At 43.6% G+C, this 13,602-nt stretch overlaps 2 protein-coding genes across 2 annotated transcripts in view, besides 3 other annotated features; one reads left to right on the top strand and one right to left on the bottom strand.

Moving 5' to 3' along the window:
• Positions 4,042-4,336: a silencer, noted in NCBI's record as "tiled region #13504; HepG2 Repressive non-DNase unmatched - State 13:Ctcf, and K562 Repressive DNase matched - State 13:Ctcf". NCBI's record gives its function as "represses a minimal TATA promoter and a strong SV40 promoter by Sharpr-MPRA in HepG2 and K562 cells {active_cell/tissue: HepG2 | K562}" and the evidence as "EXISTENCE:reporter gene assay evidence [ECO:0000049][PMID:27701403]".
• LOC124902107 (dapper homolog 3-like) lies at positions 9,427-11,671 on the bottom strand. Its single transcript, XM_047424279.1, has 2 exons — positions 11,401-11,671; positions 9,427-11,107 (listed from the first exon to the last, which is right to left on the bottom strand). Exons 1-2 carry the CDS (start codon positions 11,669-11,671, stop codon positions 10,119-10,121), a joined length of 1,260 nt encoding a protein of 419 aa, XP_047280235.1. The 3' UTR covers positions 9,427-10,118.
• Positions 10,266-10,565: a silencer, noted in NCBI's record as "silent region_19821". NCBI's record gives its function as "represses an Ori minimal core promoter by ATAC-STARR-seq in GM12878 lymphoblastoid cells {active_cell/tissue: GM12878}" and the evidence as "EXISTENCE:reporter gene assay evidence [ECO:0000049][PMID:35858748]".
• MOB3B (MOB kinase activator 3B) overlaps positions 10,313-13,602 on the top strand; it is a 204,606-nt gene continuing 201,316 nt past the window's right edge. The window contains exon 1 of the mRNA NM_024761.5: positions 10,313-10,572. The gene's annotated coding sequence lies outside the window, so the exon portion shown is untranslated. The remainder of the gene's footprint in view (positions 10,573-13,602) is intronic.
• Positions 11,536-11,585: a silencer, noted in NCBI's record as "silent region_19820". NCBI's record gives its function as "represses an Ori minimal core promoter by ATAC-STARR-seq in GM12878 lymphoblastoid cells {active_cell/tissue: GM12878}" and the evidence as "EXISTENCE:reporter gene assay evidence [ECO:0000049][PMID:35858748]".

Raw genomic sequence — 13,602 nt, 5'->3', positions numbered from 1 at the left:
TGAGAACCTTCTTTGATCCACCTTGGCCAGACATTTTCTCTGGCTTCCATTAATAGCCTCAACATTTTTTTTTTTTCTGGCCTAGACCCACACAGGCAAGAGACCAGAGCTTCTCTAAGGAGCTAAGGGAAAGCACATTTTAAAAATAACTTGAGCAAATGAATTCATCTGGCAAAAGCAACCCCACTACGTAAAATAAACCTTTTTAGTTTCGCAATAGCAGTTCCTGAAAATGTAAACAACCTCAGGGTCTACATGCACTGAATCATTTGCTGAACAGAAAGTCCCTGGTCCAAATTCTGCAAGAATAAACACCTTACAAAACTAGGGGTCAATGACCTTCATATGGGAACAAGGAGGGTGTGGGGGGCAGCAACCCACCCTGAGGACAATGAGAAAGTCTTGAGACTTGATATTCAAAATGCTGGCTTTCTAAACCAAAAACTGGCATGAGTGGAGGGAGAAGGGGAGGGTGGGCACAGTCTATGCCTCAGGCTCTTGCTCAGACCCTACCAGGCCCCTGCCTTCCCTAGGGAAAGCGAGAGTCTACTCACTGTCATGAAGCCAGAGGAAGGCCCTGCAGGTTTCACTGTGTGTTCTGTTGACAAGATGATGGTTCCATTGAAACTGTAATAACATACTTGGCCAACTAAGCCCATACGATCGTAGTAACTTTGTACCCAGTCCTAGCTTTTCAAACATAATGATAATATGTTCTTTCTAATGTGGCCCATACTGTTCTAATGAACTTATGCTGAGTTTTTCTGAGTACTAGAATAATATTCGCCATAAATAATAGATATAATTATTCTCATTTAATATTTGCGTAGCTCTTCTTTAAAGCAGAAAGTATTTTCTCATTCCTTACTAGAACCTTTCTGTGTGAGGAGCACTGAGCTAGAACCCATATCTTAGAATGGTCAGAATTTGGAGAAATTCAGGGAAAAGGCACTGGACTCATTTTTAAAGACTAGAAAATGCAACCTCCAGAAAAAGATTCAAGAGTTTTTTACTCCCAGAGATGTAGGAAAGATTGGAGTAAATCTTAATATTATATTTCAGGTAAACAAAGGATCACTGTCAAAATAGCAGCATTTATTGAGTAATGGCTGTGTGCCAGGTACTTTACAGTTTCACATTTAACCCTCATAATAACCTTGTAAAGTGGATATCCCCTCAGTACATGATGAGAACACTGAAGCTTAGGTTAAATGATTGTCCAAATCGGACAATCATTTTCAAAATCTCCCCCTTTTTTTCTCCTTTCTTATCTGCAAGGCAGATTGCCCTTTCCCTTTCAGTGAAACTTGTGCATGACCACATGACTCTCTTTGGCCAATGAAACATGAACAAGCAGCGTTTATCACTTTCAGATGGAAGGCTTTGCATGAGCTTTGCCTCCTTTTCACTCTGCCACAGTGGCCACTAACATTCCAGATAGTGGCGCTCTGCAGGCTAGGTCCTATAGTGGGAGCTATGGGCAGAGCCCCCTTTCCCACCCCCATCAAGATGTGCATGCTGCATAAGCCATGCATTAATCTTTGCAGTTTTAAGCCACTAAGTTTTGGAGTTATATTAATCATTAATCATGGTTCTCAAGAGAAACAGAGTGGGGGAGTGGTATTCATTATGGGAATTGGCTTACATGATTATGGAAGCTGAGTAGTCCCCCAGTCTGCTGTTTTTGAGCTGGAGAACTAGAGGAGCCAGTGGTATAATTCAGCCCAAGCCTGAAGGCCTGAGAAATGGGATGGGGGAATTGGGAGGGTGGGTGTGCTAGGGTAGGATAAGTCCTGAAGTTCAAAGGCCAGCCAGAAGGTGGATGTTTCAGCACCAGAAGAGAGAGCAAATTCGCTTTTCTTCTGCCTTTTTGTCCTCTCTGGGCCCTCAATGGATTGGATGATGCCCTCCCACATTGGTAAGGGTGGATCTTCTATACTCAGTCTGCTAATTTCTTCCAGAAACATCTTCACAGACACATCCAGAAATAATGTTTTACCAGCTATCTCGGTATCCCTTAGCCTAGTCCATATTTAAAAATTAATGATCACAAGCAGTTGTTTGTTTCCACAGCAAAACCTGGGTGACAGACCAAGTGACCCAGATGACTAGAATTTGACCTTCTTTTGTTGCCCACACCATACTCTGAACTAACATGCTGTGCTGCCTTCCAAGTGGAGAATGATGGCTAAGTATCTTCTACCTAATTTGAGTCACAGAAAAAAAAAAAAAAGGTTATTAACTGCAGTGACAAGAATTGTGATTCCCCAGGGGGCAGATCAAGACTGATAGATAAGAGAAGTGAGGAACATCTGGGGAATGTCCATTGAAAATTTACTCAGAAGAGAAGAATAATTAATATAATAATATGATATATTGAATTATAATAAATAATATTTTGATGTATTTCCTTCCAGGCATGTTTAAGTTATAGACTTTGAGTATATTTTCTCAAAGGGGGTTCTATGTAAGAGACTATTTCTTAATATAGTTCCTAGCTTGGAATTGCTCTTGCTGGTTTAAGCTGAGCTTATTTTATTACAGACTTCACAACAATAACGTTTTCCTTCACTAGTCAGTACACAAGATGGTCTTCATTTCCAGTTTGGAATCCCACACTATCAGAGCCTGAGACAAGGACTAGTATGCAGTTAGTTTGTTTGGGAGGTGATTCCAGGAAGTGGGAATGAGAGATCAGTCAGCCTGCAACACGAAGGAGGAAAAGTCAATATAAGGATGAATTTGGCAATTGGCCGTTTCATGCAACTGGGGCTAAATTTTGCTTGGCTCTCTAAGAAATGTAAAGAATGCCTCCCGTAATTGCTCACCTCAAGTATTTATTCATTGGCTCTCATGCTCCATTGGTTGTCCATGAGAACTTTAGCCCTCCCTCGCTGCAGCACAGACACTGTGCTTTCTCCTAGGCTGAGCAAGCTCCTGCATCTGTGGAAACCGTCCCGGGGCAGATAGTGAAATAATGACTGCTGCGTGCTTGAGATCTGGGAAAGAGGCCACATCATAAGTGCACTGAAATCAGAGATGTGTCAAGAGATGTGACACAGGGCATCTGAGGTGTCTACTGCACCAGCTATAACTCCCTAAACGCTAATCTCAGTTCTTACAGAGGGGATGGATGCAAGGGAACAGTCATGATTGAGAGCACCGAAGAAGCTCTGTATGAACCTTAGGCAAGTTTCCTAATCTCCAAAATGAAGGTAATAATACCCACCATCCAAGATCTTCGGGAGGAATAGATGAACTAATGTATGTGAAAATGTCCAGCACAGGTCCTAACCCATAGTAGGTGCTCACCAAATGTTAGTTCCCTGCCCTCCACGTTGTGTGTATCCGGAGCTGCACTAGATGCTGAGGCAAATGGTCTCAAATGTACTTTAACACTTAATGACTGAGATTTTTTCTGAGCTGCCTACAGGTTATTGACTATATTCATTATTAATAATAATATATATGGCCACTTCAGGCAACTGGGGCTAAATTTTGCTTGGCTCTCTAAGAAATGTAAAGAATGCCTCCTGTAATTGCTCACCTCAAGTATTTATTCATTGGCTCTCGTGCTTTATTGGTTGTCCCTGAGGACTTTAGCCCTCTCTCACTGCAGCACAGACACTGTGCTTTCTCCTAGTTTCTGTGGCAAGTGACAGGAGCCCACCTCAAACTAAAGCAAAAGGGACTTCATTGGCTCTTGTAGCTAGGAATTCCAGGGTTGGCACTGGCTTTGGGCACTACTGGATGCAGGAATTCAAACAATGTCTTCAACTCTTTCTTTTGGTGTTTCTCTCAGCTGTGCTTCTCTTGTCGTTTCTTTTTCCCATTTTACAGATAAGTTCATCCGTAACTGAGAGAGGTGAAAAGGGGATGGCTGCAGAGAACTCTGGCTTATATCATCCTTGCTTGCTGACCTCAAGGTCCATGTATAAATTCTCAGAGAAGAAGCCCTCTGGTTGGTGATGCTTGGAACATGCCCTGGAGGGTGGGCCCCTTGAAGTGGAGCTTGCTGGAACCACATGGGCTGGAGCAAGGCGCTAGGGCCAGAAGAGAGAGGTAGGCAGGGCTGCTGGCCAGGCACTCTTCACCAAGACAAGGCAAGAGGAGGGGCATGATTGAGGCAGTGATACAGAAAGCAGACAGTAGAGGTCGTGGCAAGTGTGCCGTTACTTGCTACCTGTGGTTGATGGGAGAGTCACACCACATTTAGGAGGAGAGAATCCATTTGCCACTTCTGACAATGCCACAAGAATCACATATTTCATCCAGAGGTTGAATTTGGCCCATGCTGAGCTTTAAAATACAGAGCTGTCTTGGAACAATGGCTCAGTACATTCATTTGGTGTCCAACAAAGCCTGCCTCTGTTGCCTTCCCTCTCTCTGTGTGCCCTTCAAGATCTTCATTGTGCTTTGGGGAGAGAAAGAGAAAATGTCATATCAGGGTAGCTCACCCCATGTGTCCTGGACTCAGGAAAAGAGTATCTTATCACCTTACTCTTTTGTTATTATAAAAAATAAAGTTGAACGTCTTCAAATAAAATAAAGAAGTATAGAAAAAATTTTAAATTAACCTGTTATGATTCTACCTAGAGAACCATTGTCAACATCTTGGTATATGTACTTCCAGATACTTTCCTATGAATATATACATTGTAGATTTTTTAATATTAAAAGGCTATCATGCTGCTTTGTATACAGGCTTTCTTTACTGATATGTAATATAATACACAGACAAATATACAAATCCTAAGCCATCAACTCATTGAATTTTTATTCATTGTTTTTAATACCTGCATTGTGTTCCATTGTTAGGCTATGTCACAACATATTTAATTAAGCCCCTATTGATGAATATTAATTTACTCTATTTGCCAGTTCATTCCAGTCCAACATTTATTGAGTGTCTACTTACGGGCCAGGCACTCTTGTATTCATCAAGATCACCACATTATCTGTATCAGTTATTTATTGCCACAATAAAACTGCATAACAAATCACTCCAAAATGTAGCACCTTAAAACTACAACTACTTATTATTTCTCAAGAGTCAATGGGTCAGCTGAGCAGTTCTGCCGATAGGGGTCAAGGTCAACACATTTCAACTAGACTACTTGTAAAAAAGAATGAGTGTCTGGGTAGGTGTGTTCTTCTAAAAATAAAACAAGGAATGAGGAAATTGCAGGTAGGATAAGAGGGGTGGTTGGCAACCAAACCCCACAAAAGGCAGACAAATTTTAAGGAAACATAATGCCAGACTCCTATGTCATCATCCAAGTAGATGCAGTGAAGTATAACCTGGGGCGTAGTAGGGTAGGAGTGGGGAGAGCAGAGGAGAAGGAAGGGAGATTGCTTTTCATCACTTTTGGATTCCCTAATAACAGACATGACTGCCAGTATTAAAATTTAACAAAGGATATCTGATCATTAATTTTCCTGTATAAGTCACTGGTGATCTTCAACATCTCTCCCTCCCTTCCTCCCTTCCTTCCTCCCACCCTCCCTTCCTTCCTTCTTTCCTCTTTTGCTTTCAACTTCCTTTTCTCGTTTCCTTTTGCTTTCTTTCTCTTCTCCCTTTTTTCTGTCACTCTGGGCGTATGTAGTAGTGTAAAAAGGTTGACAGAGAAATCAAATATAACAGGAGCAGGGCCCTGAGAAAAGCACCTGGCATCCTGTAGGCAAACCATTGTTTCTAAAAGAAGGGACTGAGAGATTGAGGAGCTCAGGACATTGCCAAATGAACAAGGCAAGCACATTTATTCAGTACCAAACAAACGGAAAACGGCCTTTCCAAATAACTGACCTATAAAACAGCCTTTTCACAAGAGTACCGTAATTACTGGCCAACAGCAACAATGAAAAACAACTCCCAAACAAAGAAATATTTCTGGATTAAAAGCCATGAGATCTGGATTCTAACAAGCTGTGCTCCTCAAACTACAAGTACAAAATCTGGCTCTAAACTAACAAGCTATGAGCCTCAAACTGATGACTGGCATGTTTGGGTCTCCATCTCCTTCTTGGGGGTTGGGGTCTTAGAGACCCTTTTCCACGCCCTGATTCTCTTACTAGTGTGTATGCTTTCCTTTTGACTTCTCATGCTGACCGTCTGAGCAGGAGTGAGAAGCAATTTCAAAGGAAAACATCGTTTATCATCTGCTGAAAGAAACCAAAAAGAACACAGGAAAACAAAAAGACAAGGAAAGGGAATGAAAATGTAATTCATTTTATTAAAAAGAAGAATTATTCTTCTGGGACACTGGATAGAAACCTTAATGAGTTACCTAGCTATCATAAATCCTCTAACAGAGAAGAGAAGAGAAAGAAACAAAGACGGAAGAGGGCAGGATAAAAGAAAGAAAAAAGGAAGGGAAAAATGAAGGAAGGAAGTTATCTATTCATTTCTACAGAGACTCTGCTGAGCAGTAGACAAGAAGACTTGGGAAAAATTTAACTGAAACTTTTCCAAAAATCTTTTCAGAGGGATTTTTTCCCTCTGAAAAGCATCATTAGAGGCTGTTCAATACCCAAGGCAAGCCTCTTTCATATTACTTACTGTACATGAAACACTCATGCAATTGAGGCTAGCCAGAGGCCATTTAGAAATTCAATAATTATTCAACCCAAGGGGCTTTCCAAATGGTGAAGTAGCTTCTTAAGAGGAAATTAATATTGAGCAGTATAGCAAACCTAATTGGAATCTTGAGAAAATAGTTCTGTGTCGTTAGAACAGCTAGAGGCTAAAGAAGATCAGGTTGGATGATACCTTCATTTTTGTCTCTTTCCTTAATTATGATGTAAAGGGAAAAATCTTGTTTATTTTCTATGCCAGGAGGGTAGAGGGTGATTTGGAGAGGTTCCAAGTTTATCAAAATCTACCTTCAGTCTGGCAGTAGAAAAGTTTACTTCCTTCATTTCTTTCCTATAGACATTCAAAGAGAGCTAAGGAGATCCAAAAACCTTTTTTTCTATATTTGCAATGCAAGGCAGTTGGGAATTAATGACTGATTTGTTGGTGAGGGCAGTGGGCATTGATCACAAAAGCAGTAAAGCTGTGTTTCTCAAAGAGAGAAAGTCTCTTTGAGATCTTCATTATTTTACTATTTAGAAGAGAAAGGGGCGTTATATCACGTTGGAAGCATCCATGAGTCACTAGTCTCTTCTCTATCTTTCTATGCCTTTCTGTATTAATTACTTTGAAAGCACAACATTCCAAACCCATTGAGCACACAGTGGTCTGATTTCTCCACTTGTGAAAGGTGCTAAAGTCTCACTGTAGGATTAATTTGGGGGTCCAGGCTATGGGCTTGTAGATATGACTACCTTAGACTTTGGTTCTCCTGGCAACTAACCCTTTTTGGATCGTATCTAAGTTGACCTGTTTCACAGTGAGAGAACTCCTCTCCATTACTCAGAATACTGAGGCAGATCACAAGTGTACCACACCTGGCTAATGTTAAGCCAGACAGAAACATCAGGCTCATCTCTTGAGAAGAAGGGTCGCTTATTAAGGATACAAACTATTTTTTTTTTTTTTTTTTGAGACAGGGTCTCATTGCCCAGGTTAGAGTGCAGTGGTGCAATCATAGCTCACTGCAGCCTCAACCACATGGGTATTTTTAAATAAGAAAAAAATACCATCTGATAGATATGAAGGAGCATTGGGTCACTATAAACAAAACAGATTCTAAGAGCAGGAAGAAAGAGTACAGTCTCTTTTCAATAATTTTTTTTTAAACTTGGGAAAGAACACTCACTCTATTCCTATAGACCAGAAAGCAGATAATTGTCCATTATGATTCCACATGACACTATCTTGTTCAGCTGTCACTGAAACAACTTTGAACACTGTCATATGTTCTTCCCAGCTCCTGAACTCTGACCTTTTTATGCCTTAGTTCCACTTTCACAAAAAGGGATTGATGTAATGTGCATTTCAGAGGAAACGACTATAGACATTTAGTGTCATTATAAATGTTGAGAAGTATGCTGGCAGAAATTATGCCTTAAGATCATATATGGATTCTTGTATGGTTTGAAATTGCTTAAAAGATATATATGATCTCTAAAATGTGTGTGTATATATATATGATGTCTTCTTATATATCTATATGTGATATATTTATATATATATAAATCTGTGTATATCACATATATAAATTTGCTGTTATTTGAATTGCCATTACCTCAGTGCTTAGGGGAAGCCATGCACGTTTGTTTCTTTTCAGTACCCAGAGTTAATTAACATAAGTTATCACAGAAGCTCCCATAAGCATTGAGACAATTTCTCTATACCTGTGACTATTTAAGGTTTTGAAAACAAAACAGAAGCAGGTAAGGAGGAAGTACGCTTTACTATTGAAGATTTATTAGGTACACATTTAGATTTGTGAACTCACATTGCTTAGGATGAAAGGGACTCTTGAGGATGTCTGCTGTTTGTTAGTGAACTGCCTGTAACAATTACAATTAGCACACACATGAGCACAATGAACTGGGTAGTCAGACTCAGCCAAAATGAATAGAAATAGCCTCTTACCAAATTTACTTTGAGTAGCCCTTGGACTCTGAGCACTGCTGCCCAGAGCAATATGACTGTAGGTCCAAGTTTGTCAATGACTATGCAAATGTGCTTTCTTCGCTTTTACTCTATTGTCATCTGTCTATTACAATGTTGCTATGGTGACACCTTTCCAATATCCCTGTGCTTCTTTGGTATCCTCTAAGGGGAAGCTGTAATGAAGTGGCTTGGCAAAAGAATCCTCTTGGAATTTTTTTTTTTTCATATGCTACTGAAAACCAGCATGATTTTCCTCTTATGGGAAATGTATAAAGTATGAGTTGGAAATGATGGAAATTAATCTGTACTGACTTGGGCAAGGAATGTGAATGTTATTCATTCTGTTCCAAACTACCTGAAAATATTCTCTTTCTGTTCCTACTTTCCAGGAGATAACATCTTAAGGGACACTGAAGCTTGTGCGTGTGTGAGTAGAACACGTGCTGGGGGCTCTTGAGCTCATGAGGGAGGGGCTACATGTCGGTGGGGTGATAACTGTATGCTGGAAACAATGATAGGTGGTGACCCTGGAGCACTTACCATGTGACAGGTGTTATGCTAAGCATGTTGTATGCATTCCTTCATTGAATGACAGCTACCTATATTATCCTCATTTTATAAGATGAGGTAACAGAGCTTCAGAAAGGTTAGACTCAGCTGCTATGGGTCTGTCTGACTCTGGTGTTCTTCCTCTTAAAAACTGGGGCACTTTGGAAATGAGATTCCTCGGTGATGAACAGAAATATTGCTTAGCGGCTGTATTTTTGTATCTGGCAGTTTTCCCATATTTGAGTCTTATATTCACAATCGGTATCTTTACATTACACAAAAGTGACACAGAATTAGAGTCATTTAATCCAGGGTTGATATCATTAAGTCATGACTATTTATTAAATGTTTCTTACAATATCTGAGATGATATTGCAAAAGATGTAAGTGATTTTAGAAGTTCTCACTTCGTAGTTAGTTGCAGAAACCTCTTTTGGAGGAGGGATGTTTTCTCTATATATCCTAATTTCTACTTAATATATTTCCACACCTCTTTGAAGTGTGTAGTAAGAATGGTAAAATGCAGTACTTCGTCATTTGGTACAGTTCAATCAATATGCATTAAGATGTGATCATATGGGTAATAGAAAAATGTGAAAGATCCAATTCTTTTTCTCCAGAAGGCAGGAAGCTCATATTTGATTTCTGTTACTATAAACTATAAAAACGTTTCAAATGTAGTTTACCCGTAACCATCACCCTGCAAGGGTGATATTGCTCCCCGCCAATTTACGGAGGAGAATACTGAGGCTTTAAGGTTGTAGATAGACCAAGACCACACAAGTAGAGAGTGGCGGGCTGTGGGTTGAGCTTTAAAATCCAGGTTCATCCATGACTCCCAGTGTGTTCTAGTAAATCCACTAGAATCTGAGTATTTTCCAATGATTTATGCTCCGCTCTGTGTCAGGCAGTTCATGGTATTTTTCAACAATCAGAAAATCCTGGGGAAGGCAAACTGTTTCCCCCTCTCTAGGTGCCTTGGAAGTGGCCGTTGTGGACCCAGAGATCATCCTTTCTGATCTGACACCTTCTTCACTGCCCTGGCCCAGTGTCTTTTCTGCAAGGCTGGAAGCCCCCTTAGACTGGTCATGTCCCATCTCTTTCCGGAGGGAAGATGATCCCAAAGACGACTTTTCTCTCCACGGTGCTGCCATACCGCAGGCGGCCGCCAGGGGTCCCCGCTCGGCGTCCCCGCGAGACAGTCGAGCCCCGGCCGGCTGCGCGGCGCGCTGGGTGCATGAGGGGGCTGCTCCGGAGCGACGGCGGCTGCAGCTGGAGCCAGGCGCTCGCCCGTCCGCCGGTTGGCTCGCCGGGACCTCGCGCACCGGCGGCAGAGTCCCTTGCGTGGATTGGCAAGCGACGCCCCACCTGCCCCGAGCTCACCATTTTCTTTCGCGCTGGCTGCAGCTGACCCGGCGAAGGGAGCCGACCGGGCCCTGGGCTGGAGGTAAAACCCCACGGTGAGTAAGAACCCGCTCCAAGCTAGGGGAGGCGGCGCAGCCCGGTGGCTGCTCGCTCCCGATCTCGCCCGGGCGGGCGGCGAGGTTTGGGGCGCACCTGGGCGCGGGTGCAAGAAGGTGCGGGAGGCGGCGGACCGGTCTTCTGCCCGCCGGCCACGGGCTTCCGGGGCTGGAGTCCTCTTCAGACCCCTGCCGGCGCCTGGGTTTCTGGCCGGCTCCTCGTGTGCACTTCCCGGCAGGAACAAGGGTCGCCCACTTTCCACCCCGGGATCTTGATTTGTCCTTGATTTGAAAAGATATAAATCAATAAGATCGTCCTTCTTTCGGGGTGCAAGACTCCGAGCCCATCCCCAGCCGCGGACGCCTGCAGGGTGCGTGTTGGGCTGTGGGTGGCGGGAAGACAAACTTTTACAAAAGTGCGCCTGGGCTGGGGGACAACGCTTGGGCGTCCTGATCCTGAGGGAGGAGTCTCGGCTTGGGGCAGCGTAGGGGAAGTCCGCACCGTCAGCCAGGTCGCCCCCGGGGCTGACGATGCCTCACGGAGGTGGGGAGCGTGTAAAGGCCGTACAAATCGCGCTTAACTTTGGGGCCAACAACTGTCAAACATCTGGAATCCCAGCCCCTCCCTTTCCCTGAACTGGGGAAGAAGGTGAAAACCCTTCAAGTTTTCTTTGATTGCCCCTTCCCACCTTCAGACCCCTGCTGGGAGGGTAAAGCGCCGACCCCTGGTGCCTGGCAAGTACCAGAGACTCTAAATCTCTCGGGATCCCCCCCCTCGCGCTCTTTCCTGACCCTCTCCCCTAACCCTCCCCACAGAGATCTCTCTACGCAGCCGACTGAGATCGTGGCGAATGGCCTTTTGTTTCTCCGCGTTTCCCCTATTGTTTGCCTTTCCAACATCTGGCGGGGCTTGGGGAGAGAAGGAAGCCCCTCTGGTCCCCCTCCCCGGCCCCCACGCCAGCTCCGGCAGGGGATCCCAGCTGGGAAAGTGGAGGAGCCCGACCCCAGCGAGGCCGCCCCACCCCGCCCTTGTGGTTAGAGGGCGGAGGGAAAGTTGTTCCTTCCCCGCCTCCGCTGCTGCCTGTGGCCCAGGGCGCATTTCTCAGATCTCAGCCCAGGCGCGCCGCAAAGGCTCAAATCCGAGAAGGTGCTGCTTTCGAGACAGTGGAAGCGCGTTCCGCCCCAATCCAGAGCGTCCAGTGGTTGGTTCCAGAGGATTTCAATCTCTAGCCAAAGGCGTTGGGGCTGGGCCGCTGCTAGGGCAGTGGGAGGGGATCGGGGCACCTTTGGTAGGCGGAAAGCTGAGATTCTGGGGTCCACAAGTTTCCAAGGGCGGGAGGGCAGGCTAGTCGCCAAAAAGAGAACGAAGATGCAAATAACGAGGAAGCCTTATGACGTTGCCTGGAAATAGTAGTGTGGTGGTTCACTCCGGAATGAACGTGGAGTTCTGGCTTTGAGTACCGCTCCAAGTTTAAATCCCAAGTCCCCTTTCTTCATTGTAGAAAAAGAGGACTCAGACGACGCAACACAGATACGGCTAGAGCACAGTTCCTGCTTCCACGTCCCAGAGAACAAGTGGCTTAGGATGGTCCCGAGTTCCCCTGTGGGTGCGCTTGTTGGGTTGCAGGCGGCCCTGTTTCCCTGCACAAGTCAGATGCTTACACATTGTGTTCATTCTTAGTGTGGATTATTGATTAAAGAACTGGGGCAAAAGCAAAGTAGCTACTCTGAGAAGTCAGGGTCCCCAGATGGTGCCCAGCGAGTTGTCTTGCCTCTGAGGGGAGGCTGACTGAGACTGTGCACCTGTTAGAACCTATGCTACCCCATAGCCTTGCAGTTGACTTGCTGTTGCCAGCTTTTCCTGTGGGATCCCCAATGAGTCCCTCTTCCAAGGAAGCTCAATTACACTTTTGATTCCTCCTCAACCCAGGGGAAGAAAGAGGCTTCTGTAGGAACATTATGATCTATGTACCCACTCAGACATTGTCAGTGGATACCAGAAGCTTGGCTCTGCACAGCTCTGAGAGTTTTCCCTTTGCGAACTCAACAGAACTTTTGAGTTTCCATTTAACATAAAAGAAGTGAGACTGCTAAGCCAGGAATGCGACACATAGAGCACTTTCTCTAGTGATTTCTGGGTATTATATCTCTTTACCTTCCCAACGGTGGAACCAGGAAAAGAAAAAAAAGCAACATCTTTGAAGTACTGCAAGGCACTTTACAAACATTTCATTATGAAAATGATCCCCAAGGAAGGATTCCTTTGAAATTTAGCAGCAGCAACCCAGAAGCAACAAAAAAGACCAAAGTTACTCAAGAAGTACCCAAAGGCATCATTAACAAAATAAAAGAGCATTTCTTGTCTTGGCCTACCCCGCTAAGGAAAACAGGGTAATTATAGTGGAAGTTAAGCTTGTACAGTTTCTTTTAGAATTAAAAATCTTCCCAAAAAAATCACTATAGGAAAAAATAGAAAATATCGAATGGTGAAAATGAATGTAAAAGGGGGAGATATCATAAACCTATTTCCTTGGAATAAATTTCGGAAGACGTGATACCTAGGTCACAGGGGCTGATGCGTTCTTTAGGATATTGAAGATTGCCATATTTCCCTGTAGAAAACATGTCCCAGTTTACTTTCCTCCCAGTAATGCACAAAGGCTCCTATACCTTACACTCCACTCACATTTTATATTGTCATTCTTTTTCTTTTCTGTCATACTGATGGGAGTATCTTGTCATCTTATTTTGCATTTAAAAATCAAGTTAGATTAAACATTTTTCACATTGTCTGTAGTATTTCTTCCTTTGTGATGATGTCAGTTTGTGCCCTTGCCTTTTTTCCAGTGGAGATGTTATCCTTTTTCTTTTGATTAGATGTGATCTTTAAAAAAGCATACTGTTCTGACTTCTACCCCTGCCACACATTCAGAAAATGTATATTAACTGAAAGCTCAGCTCGGCTTTCTCAGCCATTCTCTTTCCTCCAGGATAGCAAACACTTGGCAGGACTGCAACCATAAATGACTA

Source organism: Homo sapiens, chromosome 9 (genome assembly GCF_000001405.40).
Source record: "Homo sapiens chromosome 9, GRCh38.p14 Primary Assembly".
Lineage (NCBI taxonomy): Eukaryota > Metazoa > Chordata > Mammalia > Primates > Hominidae > Homo > Homo sapiens.
This window is presented reverse-complemented; position numbering and strand designations above follow the sequence as displayed.